Source organism: Homo sapiens, chromosome 13, assembly GCF_000001405.40.
Source record: "Homo sapiens chromosome 13, GRCh38.p14 Primary Assembly".
NCBI classification, from domain to species: Eukaryota; Metazoa; Chordata; class Mammalia; order Primates; family Hominidae; genus Homo; species Homo sapiens.
Window position 1 is genome coordinate 87,853,510 of NC_000013.11, and position 20,624 is coordinate 87,874,133.

A 20,624-nucleotide genomic window follows, 5' to 3' on the forward strand; every position below is an offset into this window, starting at 1 on the left:
TACTCCCTGGTTGAATGTTTGCTTATTTACCAAATAAGCTTCCAGATATGAACAAAAATGTGGAGAAGACTTGGCAGGCAGGTGGCCAGGAGAAAGGAGAGCAAGAGCACCTACCACCAAACCCCAATCACGAAAAGTCACAAATAATCGATCCATCTCTCCTCCACAGGATTCAGGGTTGTAGGTCATAAAGGGGAGTAACTATAGGTTTATGGGTGACAAAACAAGCAGAGAGCTAAAACACAGGTGTCTCTGAATTTGCCACTTAATTTGACGTGGCACTTCCCACTGGAGTGGTCAGACATTTGTTTAAACTGTCGATGAGCCAGTAATACCTGGTTAGAAGAGTAAGGATTCAGCTTTTATTATCAGGGCTCTCTTATGATCATCAGTCCACCAACAGTTCACTGAAGCCATACAGAATGAAGCCATAGAAGAGTCATTATGAGTCAACAAGGAGCAGACCTCAGATTTATTACAGAGAGCCAAAGAAGGAGATGATGTTTGTTTTCGCTCAAGAGCTTCCCTTCCACAATCTGAATGGGAACCACAGGGAGAAAGGAGGGCATGAGAAGGAGCAGATTTTGACTCCCATCATGCTCCAGGCTGCTCTCCCTCTGTTTAGTTTGCACTGGTGGGTTGTGGGGAATTGATGCTGAGAAAGGAAAGCTTTGAAAAAAATGAAAATTTGAAATATGAAACAAAATGACAATTTTGTAAGATCTAAAAGTATCTGTTTCAATAATCTTAACTACCTGAAATGTATAGAACTAAACTGAGATGCCATTAAGGAACTCAGCTACCCAGTGGTAAAGCTGGTAAAGCTGGGAGGATTGATGGAACATTGCTAGTAGCCATTACTGGAGAAGTAACAACGTAAGTGAATCTTCAAACACCTGCAAGTTAAAATTGCATACTTAATCAGTATGCCAGTTATTAAGCTATTGACTTTCACTCTTAACTTGGCTTGCTTTTTTATTTTTTTTTATTTTTTTTGAGATGGAGTCTTGCTCTATCACCCACGCTGGAGTGCAGTGGCGCGATCTCAGCTCACTGCAAGCTCCGCCTCCCGGGTTCACGTGATTCTCCTGCCTCAGCTTCCCGAGAAGCTGGGACTACAGGCGTCCGCCATCATGCCCGGCTAATTTTTATATTTTTAGTAGAGATAGGGTTTCACCAGGTTGGCAAGGCTGGTTTCAAACTCCTGACACCAAGTGATCCGCCTCGGTCCCCCAAAGTGCTTGGATTATTGGCATGAGCCACCGCGCCTGGCCTGAACTTGGCTTTCTAAACTCCGTTTTGTGTTTCTGGTATTTGGACTATGGAAACTTCAGTTTCTCATTTGACAGCTGGTTCCTTGCGATGTTCTACCGACAGGGAGACATAGAAAGAGATGGAAAGATGAAAAAGAAAAGACATGCCCTGTTTGTTTGTTATGCTTGTCAACATTGCCTCTGCAATATCCCTTCAACTTTTTACTAATTCCGATTCTAGCTTTTTTCGTATTCTCGGCACCAGCTGGACAATGCCATCGCCATCCCCCCAGAGGTAAGAGCCACAGATCCATGGGATACCTCCCAGTTTCTAGTTTCTAATAATCTTAAATTATTCCAGCTTTAGGGGTGATATTTGGTTCTTAAACTTGCTATGACTGTGTTAACCTGTGTTCATTTTTCTTTTCCAGTTCTCCAACACTAGTTTAACCTTTTTACATTAATAGTTCTCTTAAAATATCTGATGTTTCTTTTGCTTTCTTGATTGGACCCTGATTGATAAAATCAGGTAAAATAGCTACAGGCTTGATAGATAGTAGGTACTCAGTAAATATCGGTTCTTGTTCCCTGGTTGGAGGTGAAAATAAAAGTTGGAATTCTACTATGCCTTTTTCTCCCTAACTTGTCAACTAAGAGGAACATTGTCCTAAAATAAAGCCATGCGGACTTTTACTCCTTAAATAATTTTGATATGATAGTGGATGTATGTATTCTCTATAGATAATACATATTATCTGTCACATTATACACACCACTGTATATGTATGTATCAATGGGTGCACCCAGACACGTGTATGTTAACTATATAAGTGTATGTATATGGGCAAGAACAAAGAAAATAAGGGAGCATTACTTTTAATAATGGTAAAATATTTTTTCTTAATATTTTTATAGTGTGTGTGCTTAGACAAACGGTGTTAAAAAGTCATTTTTATATTATATAATAATATAAATTATTATTTTTATATTATTAAGTAATATATTTATCATTTTATTTTATTAACATTTATTATATTATTTAATAATCAGAGATTTCATAGTTCCTGCATTTTAAAATCTTATTTCTAGTGACAATAGCAATGTACATTTCTATGACTTAAGAATCACTACATAGGTCATTCAGTAACCACCTTAATGTTTCCTCAAGACATAGGAAAATATAAGGAATGTGCTTTAGAATCATGCCTCTGAACTTGGTACCTGTCTTCTGTCAGATTTCATGGCCCACTGTTGTGCCATTGAAGAGCTTGGCTACATCTACGTAAAATCTTCCTGATTTAGGGATGTGAATTTCCTGATATTATATTTTTATGTTCAACCATTTTAATTTGATTTTTTTCCTGTCTGAATTTCTTTTTCTGTTTCACCTTATCATAATTGTTCTTTTTATTCTGATGATTTCAGCTTCCTTGATGAATAGCTCAGACATCTCCTGAGAATGATATGAACTCCAGTTATTTAACAAAGTTGAAATTTCATTGTGTAACAGAGAGACAGATGCTGCTTATATTGCCCCAATGAATCTGAAATATATAATCTCTGAGCATTTTAGGTTTTGGTACCTGGAACCCCTGGGTAACAATTAGTTTCTAACAATGTACTTCCATCTTCTTATAGCAATCTCTGATCACTCATAATTTCTATCTATTCTCATAGAACAACACATAAAAGTGAAATAGACCTGCTTTTCACCACCTGTAACCTCTAAAGGAGCAAATTTTTGACTTTCTTTTGTCCTGAGTCTTCTTATAACAGCAATAAATATTCACTTAACTTGTTGCAGAGGGTTATGTGGTGGCGGGGTAGGGGGGTGGCAGTAGGAGAAATGTCAGTGGTGTCAATGGATAAAACAAGAAAAAAACAACAAAACAATAAAGAGAGGAGAAAGAAACTTGGAAGCCAAAGATCATTTGTTATCATATAAAAATGTATATGCATCTCTGAAAGAGGTCCACATACACAAATATATGTAAATGTGTGTGTGCAAAATATAAAATATTTTTTTCATTTATTTTCTATGTGCTTTAGCACAACTAATATGGATCAAATACTAAAATCTACTATCTGACATTTGTGGAAATATGTTAGCATGTTTTACTATTTTCTCTCAGGGGTACATTGTGAGGTATGTGAAAGCAAGTCCTAGGGCCTACTGGGTAGTAATTATATACATATATATATAGAGAGAGAGAGAGAGTAAAGTATATGTAGTAAATACATATATTATGATTGAATAAACCTACAGGTTGCCTGTTGACTATTAATTCATTCATTTATTTGTCATATATATTTTAAGTACCTAATTTTTGCAAGGCATTGTAAATAGAGCAGGAAATGAATCCAACAATAACAAAAACGCCAACCAAAACTCACTGCCTTCATGATGCTTATATTCTAATTGGATTATATGGACACTATCAAATATATAATTGAAATATGTAGTGTATCAGATAGTAATGAATGTCACTGAGAAGAACAAGGCAAGTAAGGTGCATAGGGTGTGTGTGTGTGTGTCTGTCTGTGTGTGGTGTAATTTTTAAAAGGAGTCATGGAGACCTCGTTGAGAAGAGGCTTTTGAATAATCACTTAAGGAGATGGACACACAATGGGTCTTGTAAATAAAGGTAAAGGAAAGGGCAAGGGAAAGAGCCTTGAGGCATCAGTGTGCCAGGAGGAGGTCCATGCATCTGAAGCTGAATGAGCTAGAGGAGGGTACAGTAGAAGATATGATCACAGGGGCAATTGGAACCTAGCTCTGTAGTTTTCCGTTAGCATTATAATGACTGCAGATTTTATTCAAAATAAATATGGAAACCATTGGAAAGTTTTGAGCAGAGGAGACTAATCAGATTAAGGGTGGAAGCAAAAGCCTGGGTAAAAGGCTATTGCTTGACAATAAAATGGCACAGGATGTTATAAAAATTGTGAGATTCTGTGGTATCTTGAAGGTACTTCCAACAGGATTTGGTTATGGGTATGAAGTGGGCTATGAGGGAAGGAAATGAATCAAGAGATATAAATTTAACAAACAGTGATGAACCTATCACTGTTTTGTTTTACTTGTATTATCTAATTTAATTTTATAAAGAAAATATAGTATTAGAAAATAATGGTAGAACTCATTATTTTTCTCATTTTACAGATGACGAAATTAAGATATGTAGAGGGACGGTATCTTGCCCCAGTCAGATGCTTATACTTGACAGCTCATGGATTCCAATCCAGGCAGTCAGGTTCCACTGTCTAATTCTCAATAACAGAGTTCTGGGGCTTCTCTACAATGGCATTTAGAGTGTTCGTTTTAAGAAACTGAAAGAATGTTCCACTAGGGAGTATTATGTGCAAAACTAAAAAAAGAGTTCAGGGAGAAATTTAAGAATTTGGTTCTGGAGTTGTTAAATTTGAGAGGTCATAAAGAAAGTTGGACATACAGGTAAAAATGGGGACTCCAGTTTAGAGATTAAATTTGGCATCATCAGACTGCAGAGTTAGGCTAATAGGTTTAGGAATAGGAATGAAAAGGGAGTGCGTCTAGATAGACTGTTCTGTTGCTTCATTTTACAATTTTATTGTTTAAAGCCAGATAAAGATTTAAGAACATAGCAATCACAACAACAAAGAAGAAGAAGAAACAGCATTTGGAGCATATTATTATTTATAATATTAGAAATGTTCTCCCTTGTGCATATTTTATGGATCTGTTCTTTGTCATGCTTCCTGTAGCTTAAATGGTTAAATGTAGGTAAATGGCTTCCAGGAAGCTTAAATGCTTCCTGTAGCTTAAATGCTTCCTGTAGCTTAAAGAGCAATTGTGACCAATAGGTGCCTGCTTATTCTCTTTTATTTTCATGTATTAAAATAAAATCATTTTGAAAGTAAAATTAAATTTTCACTTTGATATTTATAGGAATGAAAAGGCAGAGCTTTTCTTTCTAACAATGATAAAATAATTTGAAAACAAATACATCATCTCACACAATGAATGAGTTGTGGAATTCAATATAAGGTTAATTCTTATGCAACCTCCATTAAGCATGTACGTCACAGAAATATGAGAAAATCTGACTGTAGCACTGTTTTATTTACCAGGCGATTTATTACCTAATGAATATGAAAAAAATGGGATAAAGCTGCACTGAAATTCTTTTATTTAACCGATATATCATAGTACATATGCTGTGCCAATCATTGTCTAAGCAGTTTAAACATATTAACTCATTTCACCCTCTGACATTTCTCTATGGTAGAAACTCTATTATTAGTAATTCAAAGGTGAATAAAGTGGAGATACAGAGACAATAAGCATGCTCAGAGACAAATATCTAGCAACTGGTGCTGCCAGGATTGGAAGTCAGGTAGACTGGCACTAGATCCATGATTTTTACCTTCATGAAAATGTTATTATAATTGATCACTGGCTTTTTTCATAATTACATTATTTATATGTTGACAACTTGGGTGTATATGTCAAAGATTCAGGAAGTGAGATTTTCATTTTCTTTTAGTAGTCTTTTGATGATGTATTTCTTTCACTGAAGTGCAAAACAGTGATCGTATTTCTTCAGCTGTTTTGGAGAAAGGCCTTGCTTTGTGTATTGCCCTTTATAAATTCTCATATCTATTTACACTTACACTTTCTCATTCCTGACCCCATCCTCTAGAAAAATGAGGAAAGTAGGTGTGATTAACTACATTTATTTTATTTTTTTTCCATTCTGAAGAACTTTCAATAGTCAAAACGGAAGGAAATTAAGATGGTTTTTCAATCCAATTTCCGTTTTTTCTTAGGAGGAAATTGAAGCAGAACGTAATCCAAATCTATTCAGATAACACTTTGGTTCAATGAGGACTTAATCAAGAAAAGTGTCAACAGACTCATTCTGTATGGGCCAGACAGTAAATATTCTAAGCGTTTTTAGTTACATACTGTCTCCCCTGTATTCTTCATTGTTTATTTTTGAACCTTTGAAATTGTAAAAATTATTCTTTGCTCTCTAGAATGTACAAAATCCATTGGGTAAGGTGGCTCACACCTGTAATCCCAGCACTTTGGGAGGCCGAGACAAGTGGATCACTTGAGGTCAGGAGTTCAAGACCAGCCTAGCCAACATGGTGAAACACTACCTCTACTAAAAATACAAAAATTAGCCGGGTGTGGTAGCATGAACCTGTAATCCCAGCTACTCAGGAGGCTGAGGCAGGAAAATTGCTTGAACCTGGGAGGTGGAGGTTGCAGTGAGCTGAGATCATGCCACTGCACTCCAGCCTGGGTGACACAGCAACACTCCATCTCAAAAAAAAAAAAAAAAAAAAAAATTGTTCAAAATGGGGCTGTAGGCATGACTAGCCCACAGGTAAAAGTTTGCACACTTCTGATCTAGATGTATATTTTTTCAAAAATTACCAATTCCAATTTCACAGTGTGATTATAAATAGAATTTTTTTCCCTTCCTCCATTCAACTTTCTACAAATATTTATTAAGCACCTAAGTCTCTCTGAGCCCCATCCTTGATGTTGTGGATATGGTAATGCATCAGGCTGACCAACGCTCTATGCTTACTGAGTTTTCCCTGCTGTAGGACAAGAAATAAGTATATCTTAATGTAAATAGAAAAATATAAATGTAGATATTAATAAGTACATGAAGGAAACAAAACAAGGCACTAGGGTAGGTAGAACATGAAGTGTGGTGCCTTTTTATTTGGGTGGCCAGGGAAAGTCCCTCTGAGAAGATGTCATTCAAATAAAGTTATAAATGAGCATATCTGTAGAATAAGGAAAAGGCTAGTAAATAGGGCTATTGGCATTAGATGAGCAATGTAACACCAAAGGCTGACACTTAAAGCTAAGTTATCTTTCTTGAGGGGCCAACCTCCTGATAGCTGTCAATGTAGAATTTTTACACTTTTAGTCTGAGTGAAAGAATTCAGTCAACAAAGAACCTGGATCAGGGTTGAAAGTGTTCAAGAAACAGGCAAGAAGCAAACTAATATCCCTGGATCATAGTTAATTGAGAAGCATAATGATAAATGAGGTTGGGGAAGTGAAAATTATTATGGGATTTACAATTTATTTTAATTGCAATGGCAAATTATGGCAGGATTTAAGCAAGGGAGGAATATTATCAGATTCATGCTTTAAAAACATTACCCTGGAGAATGCAGTATGAGAATGCAAAAGCAAAATTTGAAAATGTAGACGTAATTCCTCTAGAAAAAATTCAAGCAAAGGCATAAAAAATGCTCTATGACGTGAAATTTACTTTCAGAAATAAAGATATAAGGACTGATTTAACGATCACTGTTTATTATATACACCAGAATTTCAGGCTTCTCTTTAAAAAATAAAAAATGGAAAAGGAGAGCACTTTCGTGGTATAAATATGAAAAATACAGTAAGAAGAGTTTTCTTATTTTTAACAATTAGTGTTTCTCAAAATATTAGAAATTAGCAGATTCTGTAAACACAGGTGGCACATCAAGTTGTATTGATTTTCTTTGGGTAATTTGTGTACATTTATAAAGTACTATAAGGTACTATTTAATAATATTTTTACATAAAATTGGAAAAGCTTAACAATGGTTAAAAGGACATTTGATGTGCACTAATGACTATTTTTTACATCCATTGATTTCTATTATTGTAAGCATAATTAGTATATTTTGCTTAAAAGAAAAATGAGGTTCTGCTTGTTTGTCTTTCCGAGATTATGCCTGCATATTAAAAGGAAATAAAGAGAAAACAAATTAGGGGAAAAAAAACAAGAAAAAGAAAGTAATATAAACAATATTAATCAATTTCTGACAAAAATAAGTATTTAAATTGTTGTTTATGTGGGCTATGCTTGCTTGATGTACCAGTAGGAAGCTAAGTATCTACATGTTGTCAGATACATTTAGTTATATAAGAACTGATTTTAAACCTGTAACCTGTCCAGTGTTTTTTTCATCAGTAAGTCTCCCAAGAGGTCTAACTGCTTCTATTCCCTTCCTCAGTACATAATAAATATACTTTATAGATACACTAGCTGCAAGCGGAGTGATGTGTTCAAAATTCAAACCAGAACTGTAAGCATTTTTGCTTAAAATTCTTCCACACCATAGCTAAGATGCTGAGCAATTCAAACTCTATACTGTAGTCTACACCTCCTCAAATGAGTTTACTCCCTCCAACTCAGATTCCCCAGTTCTAAACAATACCAACTTCTTATCATTCCTGAAGTATAGGCTGAAATATTATCTCTACAGAGAGCTTCTTGACCATGCTAGTTGAATCCGCTTTTACTCTCTATTAGAGCATTTATTTTTATTTCCTTTAAGGGCTATTTCAATCTGTGCTTGCCTTGCATGTGAATATTTGCTTATATTGGTTGCCTCCCCTCAGTATATGAAAGTTTCTCTACTGGAGAGAACTCCATTAATCTAGCGACTTTTCATTCACTGCATAGATTAGATATATAGTAAACATTTGCCAAATGGATCGATAAGTAGGATAAGTAACATTACATTACTGAGAACATAATATACCATTGGAAAACAATATGACAGGACATTCCTGATACTCTATTTAGATATATAAAGGAATACGTAATTACGTTTGTTCAGACTTGTGGGCAGAAAGTTCACGTGATGAACACAGTATCTAACTGACTTCTCCACTGATTGCTCCCTCTCCCATATCCATAGATCCACAGCATTATGTATAATATGAACAGAAAACAAAAAAACACTGAAAACTCTAGGATTGTGCTAAGCTATATAAAAGTGCCATTTGTCTATATGTCAAAAACTGAGGAATTCTTCCTATATCCTGCATTAATGAATTGAAAGCTCTGATGTGTGACTTCTCAGGGAAAAAAATATAGCATTGCTAACAAATACATGTTCTAGAACCCTGAAGAACATCACCGGAATAAATTAGTTTGGAGTGATTAGGTCAGAAAGTGAACACTGGTAGTGGAGAAGAGGGGAAAAACTTCATTTGAATTCACTAATGGTTGTTTCTAAAATCAGAAGTATTTGGCAAAGGCACTCAACAGTCCCTGAAGTGATACGCCCCTATAACCAGCAGAGTCCTTGTGGTGTGATAAGAGCTTAACCTGGAAAAGGAACCGGACATAAGAGTGATCTTGAACTTGCCAATTAAGGGAAATGATACAAAACGTCAGATAAAGGAAAATGCTTACTTCTTCCTAAAAATATTGCTAATAATGGAAATAATTATAATAGTGGCAAATAAGAGCACTTTTTCTAAGCAGAGTCTATTCAAAGCACTTTGCATATGTATATTAACTCAAATCTCACCACAGTGCAATGATATAGTAACTAAGTATGTTTATCCCCATTTAGTATATTAGGAAATGTAAAGCAGAGGGAAAAGAGGAAACTTTCTCCAGGCCCTACACTACTAGATGGTGGAGTTTGGCTTCACATCCAGGCAATGTGAACTCTCCACTATGCTATGCTCTTTGCTTGTTGGTTTAAACAAAAGAAGAAATTTAAAAGTTGCAGTGTGGCAAATAATATTCCCCTGTTGAGACTCATGGATTTTAACACCTATACTCACTCTTTGGATTATTAAAATCATTACATAAATTACAAATCTTCTCTGTGTAAGATACAGGAAAAACTTTGCTACAGCACACAGGCAGATAACAAGAAAAAGAGATTATTATTAAATAGTTTATGTCTTAGATCTGGAGTCCATTCCATGTCTAAATTGAGTAGCAAGAAAAAACAGTAAAATCAAAAACAATGCAAATAACCCCCAAAACCAATGACACAAGAATACAAATACACACAATTCTAACATAGAGTCAGTTAAAATTTGTGTAAACTTAGCAAAGGAGAAGAAATATTGAAGATGGATGATAGAGAAAAAAATTGAAAGCATTTGCTTTTGCTTTAATATATATAAAATAAATATATATTATATATAAAATACATATATAATATATATAAAATATATATAATATATAAAAATATATATTATAAAAAATATATAATATATAATATATATTATATATATATACTGTGTATATATATTTTTAGAAGGAATCTCGCTCTTTCACCCAGGCTGAAGTGCAGTGGCATAATCTTGGCTCACCGCAACCTCCGCCTCCTGGTTCAAGCGATTCTTCTGTCTCAGCCTTTCGAGTAGCAAGGACTAAAAGTGCGTGCCACCACATTGGGCTAATTTTTGTATTTTTAGTAGGGATGGGGTTTCACCATATTGGCCAGGCTGGTCTCAAACTCCTGACCTCGTGATCTGCCCAGCTCCACCTCCCAAAGTGCTGGGATTACAAGTGTTGAACCACCACGCCCGGCTGCTTTAAAATAAATATTAAAAAACACTATAAAACAACATAAAACCACAAGATAATAAATAAAAATAATAGGATATTTTATAAGGAGCCAAGTAAAAAGAATTGGGAAAGATCTGGAAAACTGCTATAAAGTCAATATACATAAAATCACATTATTGATATTTATTATAGCCATCAAAAAGCAGAGTTGTCCCTGCAGAAAGTCAAGCAAGTGATTTGTAGGAGAGATTTGATGATTTTTTTCTCTGTTGCAGAGGATATTGGCAAAGGTTTATAAAAAGACAAAAAGCAATACATATTGATGAAATACATATAATGTTGCTTTTGGTAGTTGAGATTTAAGAAAGATACAATAACAACTGAAATAGAAGCAATCAGCCTATGAAAAAGCTAGTAATAATATGAGAGTATGGCAAAAACCAGGAAAATTAATTTTCAAAGATACCAGTGTCATATATACCCATTTTAGTTAAACAGGAAAAAAAAAATAAGAACATTGATAGTCCAAAAGAAAAAAATCAGGATGGTCTCAAATTTCTCTGTAACATTGTATGCCTGAAGAGAAAATAATTTGGACAGTAAGCAAATGTGACTCATAATTAGCTAGTAAAATTGTGCCTCTGTATTTAAAAGCGGCAGAAATATATCTTGACATACATAAAATGTGTCTTGATATTTTTAAAACACTAGCTACATACTCTTCCTGAGTGGGGGAGAAATAGATGTTACATTCGGAAGAATCAAGAGGCTACAGTATAAAATAAATTTAATTGAGCATTGAAACCAGTTATTACAAACAAATTAAAATAATAAATTTTAAATTTATTTCAAAATAGTATATAATGATTAAACTCTAGTTAACAACAATTATTATTATAATTTAAATATTTGATGTTTTTAAGGGGTACAGCTGAAAGAAGTTCTTTGGAAAAGGAGACTAAGAGCCAAATAAGGATATTGAAACATGTTTACTAACTACATTTTAAAAGAGAAAATACACTAATTTTTGGTTCAATATGTGTTTGTACAATTTTTCATGACTGAGACCACAAAATAAATATCAATAAATTACTAAAGTAGAAATTGTGCAGATTTTTTTTCTTGCCATATGCATTAAAATGCATTAAAATGATAGCAATCATTTTAGTGATTTAAAATAACATTTTTACTATTAGTTAATAGTAAAAGTTAACTAATGATAGTTATTAACTATCATTAACTAACATAAGTTAAATAATGATAGATGATATGAAATTCCTTGGAAGTTAAGCTTGTGTTGAACACACACAATCTCAAGTATTATTTCTATTTTCAAAAAGAATTTAAGCCAGAATTATAGTATATGTATGGTCTGGTGGCAGGTTGAATAATAATCCAGAACTCAACAACTGAAAATGAATTAATTAAATCTTCAATTTAGGAAGCACAAAAGTAAAACTAACTAAATAATAGGAATATAAAAGGAAAGGATTACTTAAAGAAAAGCATAAAGATAATAATTTTAAAAAATAGATTCTCACCTCACAGTTTAATAAGTTCCAAATGGATTAAGCATTCTAAAACAAATATAGTGCAATTTGAAGAAAATATAAAGAATATTTTCTGCCTTCACAGACTATTCTAGACAAAGAGACCACACAAAAAAATCTAAGGTCTATGACTGATACATTTGAGCATGTTATAGAAAAAAAAATTGTACATTTATGTGATTTAATAGATCATAAAGAACGATCTGGAAAATAATTTGAAACAGAAGTGGTTGTCATCAATATTCTCTACAAAGTTCTAACAAAAAAAAAGATGATGGTAAAGGCACATGAATAGATGATCTCAACAAAAATGCAAGAATCAAATAGTCAACAGGGCACGGTGACTCACTCCTGTAATCCCAGAACTTTGGGGGGCCGAGGAGGGTGGATCATTTGAGTTCAGGAGTTCGAGAGCAGCCTGGCCAACATGGTGAAACCTCCTCTCTAATAAAAATACAAAAATTAGCCAAGTGTGGTGGTGGGCAACTATAGTCCCAACTACCTGGGTGGCTGAGGCATGAGAATTGCTTGAACCCTGGAGGCGGAGGTTGCAGTGAGCTGAGATGGCACCATTGCACTCCAGCCTGGGCGACAGAGTTAGACTCCATCTCAAAACAAACAAAAAGAATCAAAAAGTCATTCAACAGAATACTAAAAATGCAATGGAAGGAATAGGAGACGGTCTTTATTGTTTCTGGTTTAAATATGAAAAAAGAATATTTGAAACAACTCGCTATCAATACAGATAAAATGAATTAATGCTAGCTATTAGGAGGAAGCGTGATTGTGTTTTCATAAAATAAATTTGAAAAAATTGTCAGCTAATTATTTGCCTACCTCATTAATTTTTGAATTATTTGGAATACCTGTTTAGGAAAAATATTAAATTGTGAGCAAATGAGCAAGTAGCTTGAAAATGAAAGTTAAAATATTTAGATGACGATTAATAATGGTTATATATAAATTTTAAGGCTAAAAGAGTAAGAGAGAACAAAAATGGCCTTAAAAATAATACCAGTTTAAGAAACTAATCATGATCTGAGACTTTATGTACATTTATGTTTATATTGGAAAATTAAAAACCAAATTTATAACACAATAGTTTTCAAGAAATTAATTTTCATGGCAGTAGTCATAAAAGCTATATAATGCATATGAATACTAAAAGCCTTGGTTTTAAATCGCCTTGAATTCATCTTGAGATTGTTGGAGGAGGAAGGTATAATTTCTTTGCCCAACTCCTTAAAATTAAGGACATAATTTATCTTCTGTCTCTCTGATAGAAGAAGTAGAATGTTTATCACACACCGATTAATTTATTAAATGATTAAAGAAACATAACAATAATGCAAAAATTATATAAAAGATGGAGAAAAATATTATAAGATCCATGGTGTTCTATTAAATCAAAATAAATGAATATAAATGTGTATTATTTATAACAATTTAGCAATACTCTGTTGTATGAATATTTGGTTGTTGAATCCTTTCTGCCTTAATTTATTTTTCAATTGATTGGTTTAATTTTTATGCAAAAATTATACCTTTAAATTATACCATTCGTTGACAACTGCGTTAGAAGCAAAGGAGGTCCAGAAAAATAAGAAATGGTCCCTAAACCCATTGTTACTTAATTTGTCAACAGAGGTACAAAATAGTAACCAAAAAAAGGGCATGATAGTGGAGCTGACGAAGATAAACCAAGCTGGACACTAAGTAAAATGGTAAGGACAGATTTTAATCAGGAATATACTCTTACGAGTATACTCAGTGTGAACTGAACTCACGTTCAATTTGTACAGAGGTGCCTGGGAGTTTTAAAGGGAGTATGTGGGAGTAAAGAGGGGAGTGAACAGAGATTTGGAAAGGCAGGGAAGTGAAAAATTACCAAGGGCTGCTCGGTGTAAATGCTGATTAGATCAGCTGTGTTTGCTGGCTGGCAATTACAGAAGTTAGGATTGTATGCCCACACAAAGGAATTGCTTTCAGTTCTGTGAGAAAGACACTCCTTAGTTTTGAGATATATATATATACACATCGCAATAAAAAAAGAAGGATTTCACAATTGTATTCGTCCATTTTTATACTGCTATAATAAACTGCCTGAGACTGGGTAATTTTTAAAGGAAAGAGGTTTAACTGAATCACAGTTCAGCATGGCTGGGGAGGCTTCAGGAAACTTACAATCATGGCAGAGGGCAAAGGAGAAGCAAGGCACTTTCTACACAAGGCGGCAAGAGGAGAAGTGCTGAGCAAAGGGGGAAGAGCCCCTTAAAAAACCATCAGATCCCATGAGAAATCCTTCGCTATCACCAGAACAGCATTGGGGAATCCACCCCGATGGTTCAATTACCTCCACTTGGTCTCTCCCTTGACACGTGGGGATTATGGGGATTATGGGATTACAATTCAGAATGAGATTTGGGTGGGGACACAAAGCCTAACCATATCAAAAATTGAAAGCTTTTTTAGTAAAGGCTTTAAGAAGGGTTCTCAGGAACCTATCTTCTGGTGTTGGCCAGAACAAATGGTAAATTCTTTGGCAGTCTAGAGCTTTCTTAGGAACTTAAGAGAGGCTAAGTTCATCCTAGGAATATGACCTTGAGCTGTTAGAAGCGATGTCAGTGCTTGCTTAAGTCTTTTAATGTTGGGGGATGGGATGGACAAAATCATTCCTGTTGAGAGTTTGGCCTAGGTGGAGGCCTCGTCCAGAAGAGGATGAGGAGCCTGGCTAGAATGTGGTCAAGGAGATAATCTTGGTTAGAGCAAGGGCTAAAATGTCTCCAAGATTCCACATTATCTTAACACAAGACATTACAGTACTCTGATTTATGTTTGAATTGATGTGGGAAAAATCTCATCTAAAATGTCAAAACATATTTTTAAACACAATGAGAAAGTAAGAGTATACACAGAGACTAGCATGGTGCCTGGCATAAAGTTGCACTGGAATAAATATTTTATTTTTGAATAAATGAAGATAGTTGAACCTGAAGGCACTACTGTAAATTGCAAGATGCTTTTAAAAATCTTAATTTCTCTACATGTAGTTTGATAATAAAATTGATAATATAGTTTGCTTATTAATCTTATTCATACTCAAAAAAAATGGTTACATTCACTGTTTTGATACTGTGGGAAAAGAAATCAAATGTTTAAGGCATGCCAGGACTTCGTAGCTGCTATTTAAGATGTTGTTTTGCTGCTTACCTTTTTTTTTTTGCTTTTGCTTTTTAATGAACAGCTTGTTTCTGAAGTAGACACACACAATTTGGCGCAGTTCTCTACAGTTCAGCACAATATGGTTGAATTGGCAGTCTCTGCTCTGAGGAAGCCATTATTGTCTCAGCACCAAAACTTCATTAGTCAAATCCCTATAGAATGAGATCTTTACAAGGCAGGGATAAGACTAATGGTGTGAGGAGGGCACAGATATGCTAATCTTTACACTTGAAGAATATTTACCATAGAGAAAATGTGGATAGCTAGCTTATAATGTGTATGCTTTGCTTTGGTAATTCACTAAGAAGAAACAAAGACTTCAATTAGTTTTCAAAAAAATGATTTTAATAATAAAAATGGAAAATATTTACTATACACATATATTAAAGTTAATTTTAAAATACCTATTACTATGCTTTCTGGAGACATGAAATACAAGTCGTTCACAAACTAAACTTTTCAAAAATAGTGTCTGTAAGATTTGTTGGTTGAATTAAGCATTGTCTCTTATAAACTATTCAGCTAATCAGAATTTAATGAGAAACAAATACATCTGGATGTTAAAAATTTCTCCATATGTGAAAAAATTTTCCTACCAGCCTTTATGAAGGGAGGAAATCTTTCATGAATAAATGATATATTTCCTCTTTGCAAAGTATGAGAACCTGGTAAATACATCTTCCTCACAACTCAATCACTATTTTGAATTATATTTGTACCACATTATAAAATTATATGTTAAAAGGTTAAGTAAAATATTTTAATTTGTAGAATAAAAACCACAATAGGCCAAAATCTTTCCTAAACCTGGAAACACAAGGTATACACGTACACACAAACACACACACACACCAGTTTATATATACATTTATATGTTGATTAACTGTGGGGATACTTTCTGAGGAATTCAGCTTTAGGCAATTTTTGTCATTGTGGGAACATCATAGAGTGTACTTACACAAACCTATATGGTATAACCTACTACACACTTAGGCTGTGTGGTATAGCCTATTGCTCTTAAGCCTGTGCCACATGTAACTGTACTGAATAATGCAGGCAACTGTAACACAGTGGTAAGTATGTGTGTATCTAAGCATATCTAAACATAGAAAAGGTACGGTAAAAATACAGCGTTAAAATCTATGGGACCAGTATCTTACATATGGTCTGATATTGACCAAAATGTCATTATGTGGTACATAACTGTATTTAATTTCGGGCACTGTCTATATTTAAAACTTAAAATGGATATTGCCAAATATTTGAAAGAGCTAAAAGTTCTAGTTCTAATTCTAGTTATTATAAGAGATATATAATATAGTAGATATATGGTATAATACATAGCTATATATATTTTCTATAATATAAATATATCTATATATAGGTTCTAATTCTAATTCTAGTTCTAATTCTGAAGTTTAATGCAGATTATTAGCTGTGTCACAATAATATATGTTGTAAGAAAAATTGCATGTAATGTGTATATAAAATGTAAAATGTACAACATGATTTAGAACATTTAAAATAAGAACAAAAAAATTAAGGTATTTAAAAGTGTTGTCAATAGTAAGCTACAGTAGAGTTATGCTAACCATATAGGAAGCATTAAATAAAGACCTTACTAATTTTTTATATGATTTTATATTTTGAATAGAATTCTAGAGTATTCAAATTAGATAATTTATAAGAAAATTATTTAAAATTTCTAATATAAATATATCTGAGTAATTAAATTGTTATTCAAAATGGTATAATTCACTTTATGTTTTTAATATTAATAAGTGGCAAAAGGATTACTTCATGTCAAAACTGTTCATGTGATTTTTAAATTTTGATTTACATTCTGTTACTTTTTAAAAACTTAGCTCCTCAAGATCATTCACAAATATAGAATATATGTTTCTTGTCTGAATTATTTTTGTATTTAATACTAAAGTTTTTACATAATAGGCATTCCTGAATTATTTACTCTTTAACTGTTTTATCAAAACATAATTAATTGGTGTACTGTTATATTAACTAACAGTTATATAACCAGAACATAAAATATATGGTGTAATCAATCAGAATAAATATTAATTTTTCTATGTTTAAATTATTAAATTAAGAACAAAATATCTGTGGCAATGTCAAGTTTTAACAAATGAATGCATAGGCAGTTTGATTAAATATATGGAGCATGGGAATCTGATATTTATTGGGGTAAACTTTCATAATTACTATCAGAATCAACCAGTTTTAGATATCTTGCAAACCTAATAGGAAATATACTGCCAAAGTATACATTGCTTGACAAAACACCATAATTTCTCTGTATCTTTAAGGTTCCTAGTGATCTAATTTGTGTTTACTGTATAAGCTTTTTCAGTTAAGTAACTACTTTGAAGTTTTAATCTATGCAACATTTTTTTAAATTACAGAATAAATATTTTTCTATTCGAATTTTTCATTTGAATCAGCTATTGGGGCCTCCAATAGTCTCCTGTGGAAACTGCATTGTTGAACAGAAACTGGAGATACTATTGGCATTCTGCCCATATTCTTGATCTTTCCTGGGTGGCCATCTATTGACAGTTCTTTCTGTGTAAGAACATCCTTTGGAAGCAGGGGCATATTTTCCTGACCCTCCAAAGACAAGTGGAGCATTAGTAATGCTGGGGTATATTCTATACAGCTTTTTAAAGGGTCTCTAGAGGAATTGAAACCAGTTTCCCACTGTGGTTAGCCAGTCACAGGAATATTGGCTTTGGTTCCTTCTCTGTCCATTTCATATAACATTTCTGTATGTTTGTTTTCACACTGCTATAAAGACATACCCAAGAGTGGGTAATGTATAAAGGGAAGAGGTTTAATTAACTCACAGTTCCTTATGAATGGAGAGGCCTCAGGAAATTTACAATCGTGACAGAAGGGAAAGCAGGCACCTTCTTCCCATGGTGGACAGAGACAGCCTGTGAAGGAGGAACTGTCAAATACTTATAAAAACCATCAGCTCTCATGAGAACTCACTCACTATCATGAGAACAGCAGGGGGAATCTGCCCCCATGATCCAGTCACCTCCCACCAGGTCCCCTCCTCAACATGTGGGGATTATGGGAGTTACAATTCAAGGTGAGATTTGGGTGGGGACACAGAGCCAAACCATATTAATTTCCCTCCATAGTACTTCTGATTATTTCCTGATTGAAATACTTATGTCCAAATTTGTTACCAGAAGTGGTTCTAGAATGAAAGTCTTCAAGATGGGTTTCTAGAATGATTGCTTGCCTCCCAGGTGGGAATGAAGATTTCATTATTGTATAAAATAAATATGATAGCTCTTGGTACACTGTAACTTCATAATTACTAAGAATCTCACCTGTGGTTAATTAGATTGGACATACCTAAAATGGAAGTACTAGCTTGTGCAACATGTCTAGGAGTTGAAATATACAGGGCAATGGTAATTAGAAAGACTGTGAAGTTGGCTAGCTTTTGGTTACTCTCATGGAAGTCTTGAAAAAGAAAAGATAGTTTTAGGTCATCCAATTATTAATTCAGACTTTGCCATGAAAACCAGACCTTGAATCACATTGTTTAAAAGAGCCATCTTCCCCTGCATATGCTGAAATCAGGCTCAATATTTTACCATAACATTGGCAAAATCAGCACCCTGATAAGAAAGATGAGAAAATAGTGTGAGTCTGAGAGAATATATGGGGACTTTTGGTTGAATGTACTAATAAACCTTGAATCCACATGTTCATGTAAATGCTTAGGCTGATAGAAGCAATCCCTTCATTTTTCTTGACTAGAGTAGCCTCGAAAGTCTGGAGATGATGCAAAGACCAGCCCTGAAGAGGATGCCATGTATGTTGATGTTTTCCATCTTCAGGTTTTACCTGTCTCCTGTTCTCATTGCTTCTGGATCAATAATTAAGATTGACTCTACATGGCCCAAATGAAGAAATGAAAGGAAATGGATCATTCACCAAAGGATCTGCAGAACTTTGCTAATATTTACCAGAAGTAACCAGTAGGATATTCAAGTGAGTGCTTCTTAAAAACACATTAGAGCAGGGGTATGCAAATAAAAGGCCGTATTAGGGAGAGTGAATTTATATGGAAAGAGACTCTTTTATGACTCAGGATTTAATTTCCTGGTAAGGATGCCAGAAATGGAAATTTGAATCCTGAAGATTGGATGGCTTACAGTAAATGAGTGGACCTGCTAGAACAGTCTTGGCAGAGTATTTAGACAGAGGTCAGAAGCACAGAGATATAGGCATGATAGAATAGATTTAGTATATAAGGCCAGAGAAAAGGCCCAGAAAACTCCTTTCACTAAGGGAACGAGGAATATGCTAGTGAGTACTGCAACTTCAGAAAGGTTGGTGGTGACAGTCCACCATAGCCCAGAATGTATTCTGACAGATATAGCTATGAACCCATGCTTACTGGTGTAAATGTGAATGATAATATTCTGGTAAAGCAGAGGACAAGTGGTAGCATCTCACCTTGTCAGAAACAAGTTGGGTTTAATTCCAGCATGTGTAGCAAGCCTGAAACAGCAATCAAGGACCTTACTTATAGGGATCTGTAGCAGTGGCTAATAAACTATGGTATTCCTAGGGGCCAGATAGGCAGCCAATAAAGATATTGGATTGGATTATAGATGTCAAATGGATAGAGTTGTTCAGGAGAAGAATCATGATGGCAGCTATAAGAGGAAATCATGATTCCTTTCCCAGTTTCTGTACCTAGGATAATTCCTAGACAATAAGATCATCCATTGAAAAAGAGACTGGATCTTCTTGAGGAACGATCCTGCAGTGCCAACATTGTTTTTATAACAGATATTTCTGAACCTTTTCCAATGGAACCTATGGCAATTTACCAAAGTAATTATGTATCAGGAGAAATGTAACTAATAGATATTTGAAAAAAATGTTGGTTAGAGGATCTTACCTGGCACTGATACTAGGGATCCCAAATGTCATCATAGTACCCTTTTAGAGTGGGGTCATATGGAGGCAAGGTAATAAATGAAGTCCCGGTCCAAGCCCATCTCATGACAAACAATTTTGGGGTATCATTGTGTTGTCCTTTCTCCATGCTTTAAGCTGAATACTCGGGATGAATATACAGTCATAATGACGTTTCAGTCAACAATGGATGGTGTTCCTATAAAGCTATAAAATTATATTTTTACTATACCATTTCTATGCTTAGATACACACGTATTTTCCATTGTGTTAAAATTCAGGTTTTCAGCCTAGAAGCAACATGCTAT

The 20,624-nt window shown here is 34.2% G+C and overlaps 1 long non-coding RNA gene across 1 annotated transcript; it reads left to right on the top strand.

Annotated features, from left to right (window-relative positions):
• Positions 1-313: 313 nt before the first annotated feature.
• On the top strand, positions 314-20,008 carry LOC105370304 (uncharacterized). The gene is made up of 3 exons (XR_931628.3): positions 314-876; positions 1,495-1,548; positions 19,147-20,008. It is a non-coding gene; the product is annotated as an uncharacterized LOC105370304 (long non-coding RNA).
• The last annotated feature ends 616 nt before the right edge of the window (positions 20,009-20,624 follow it).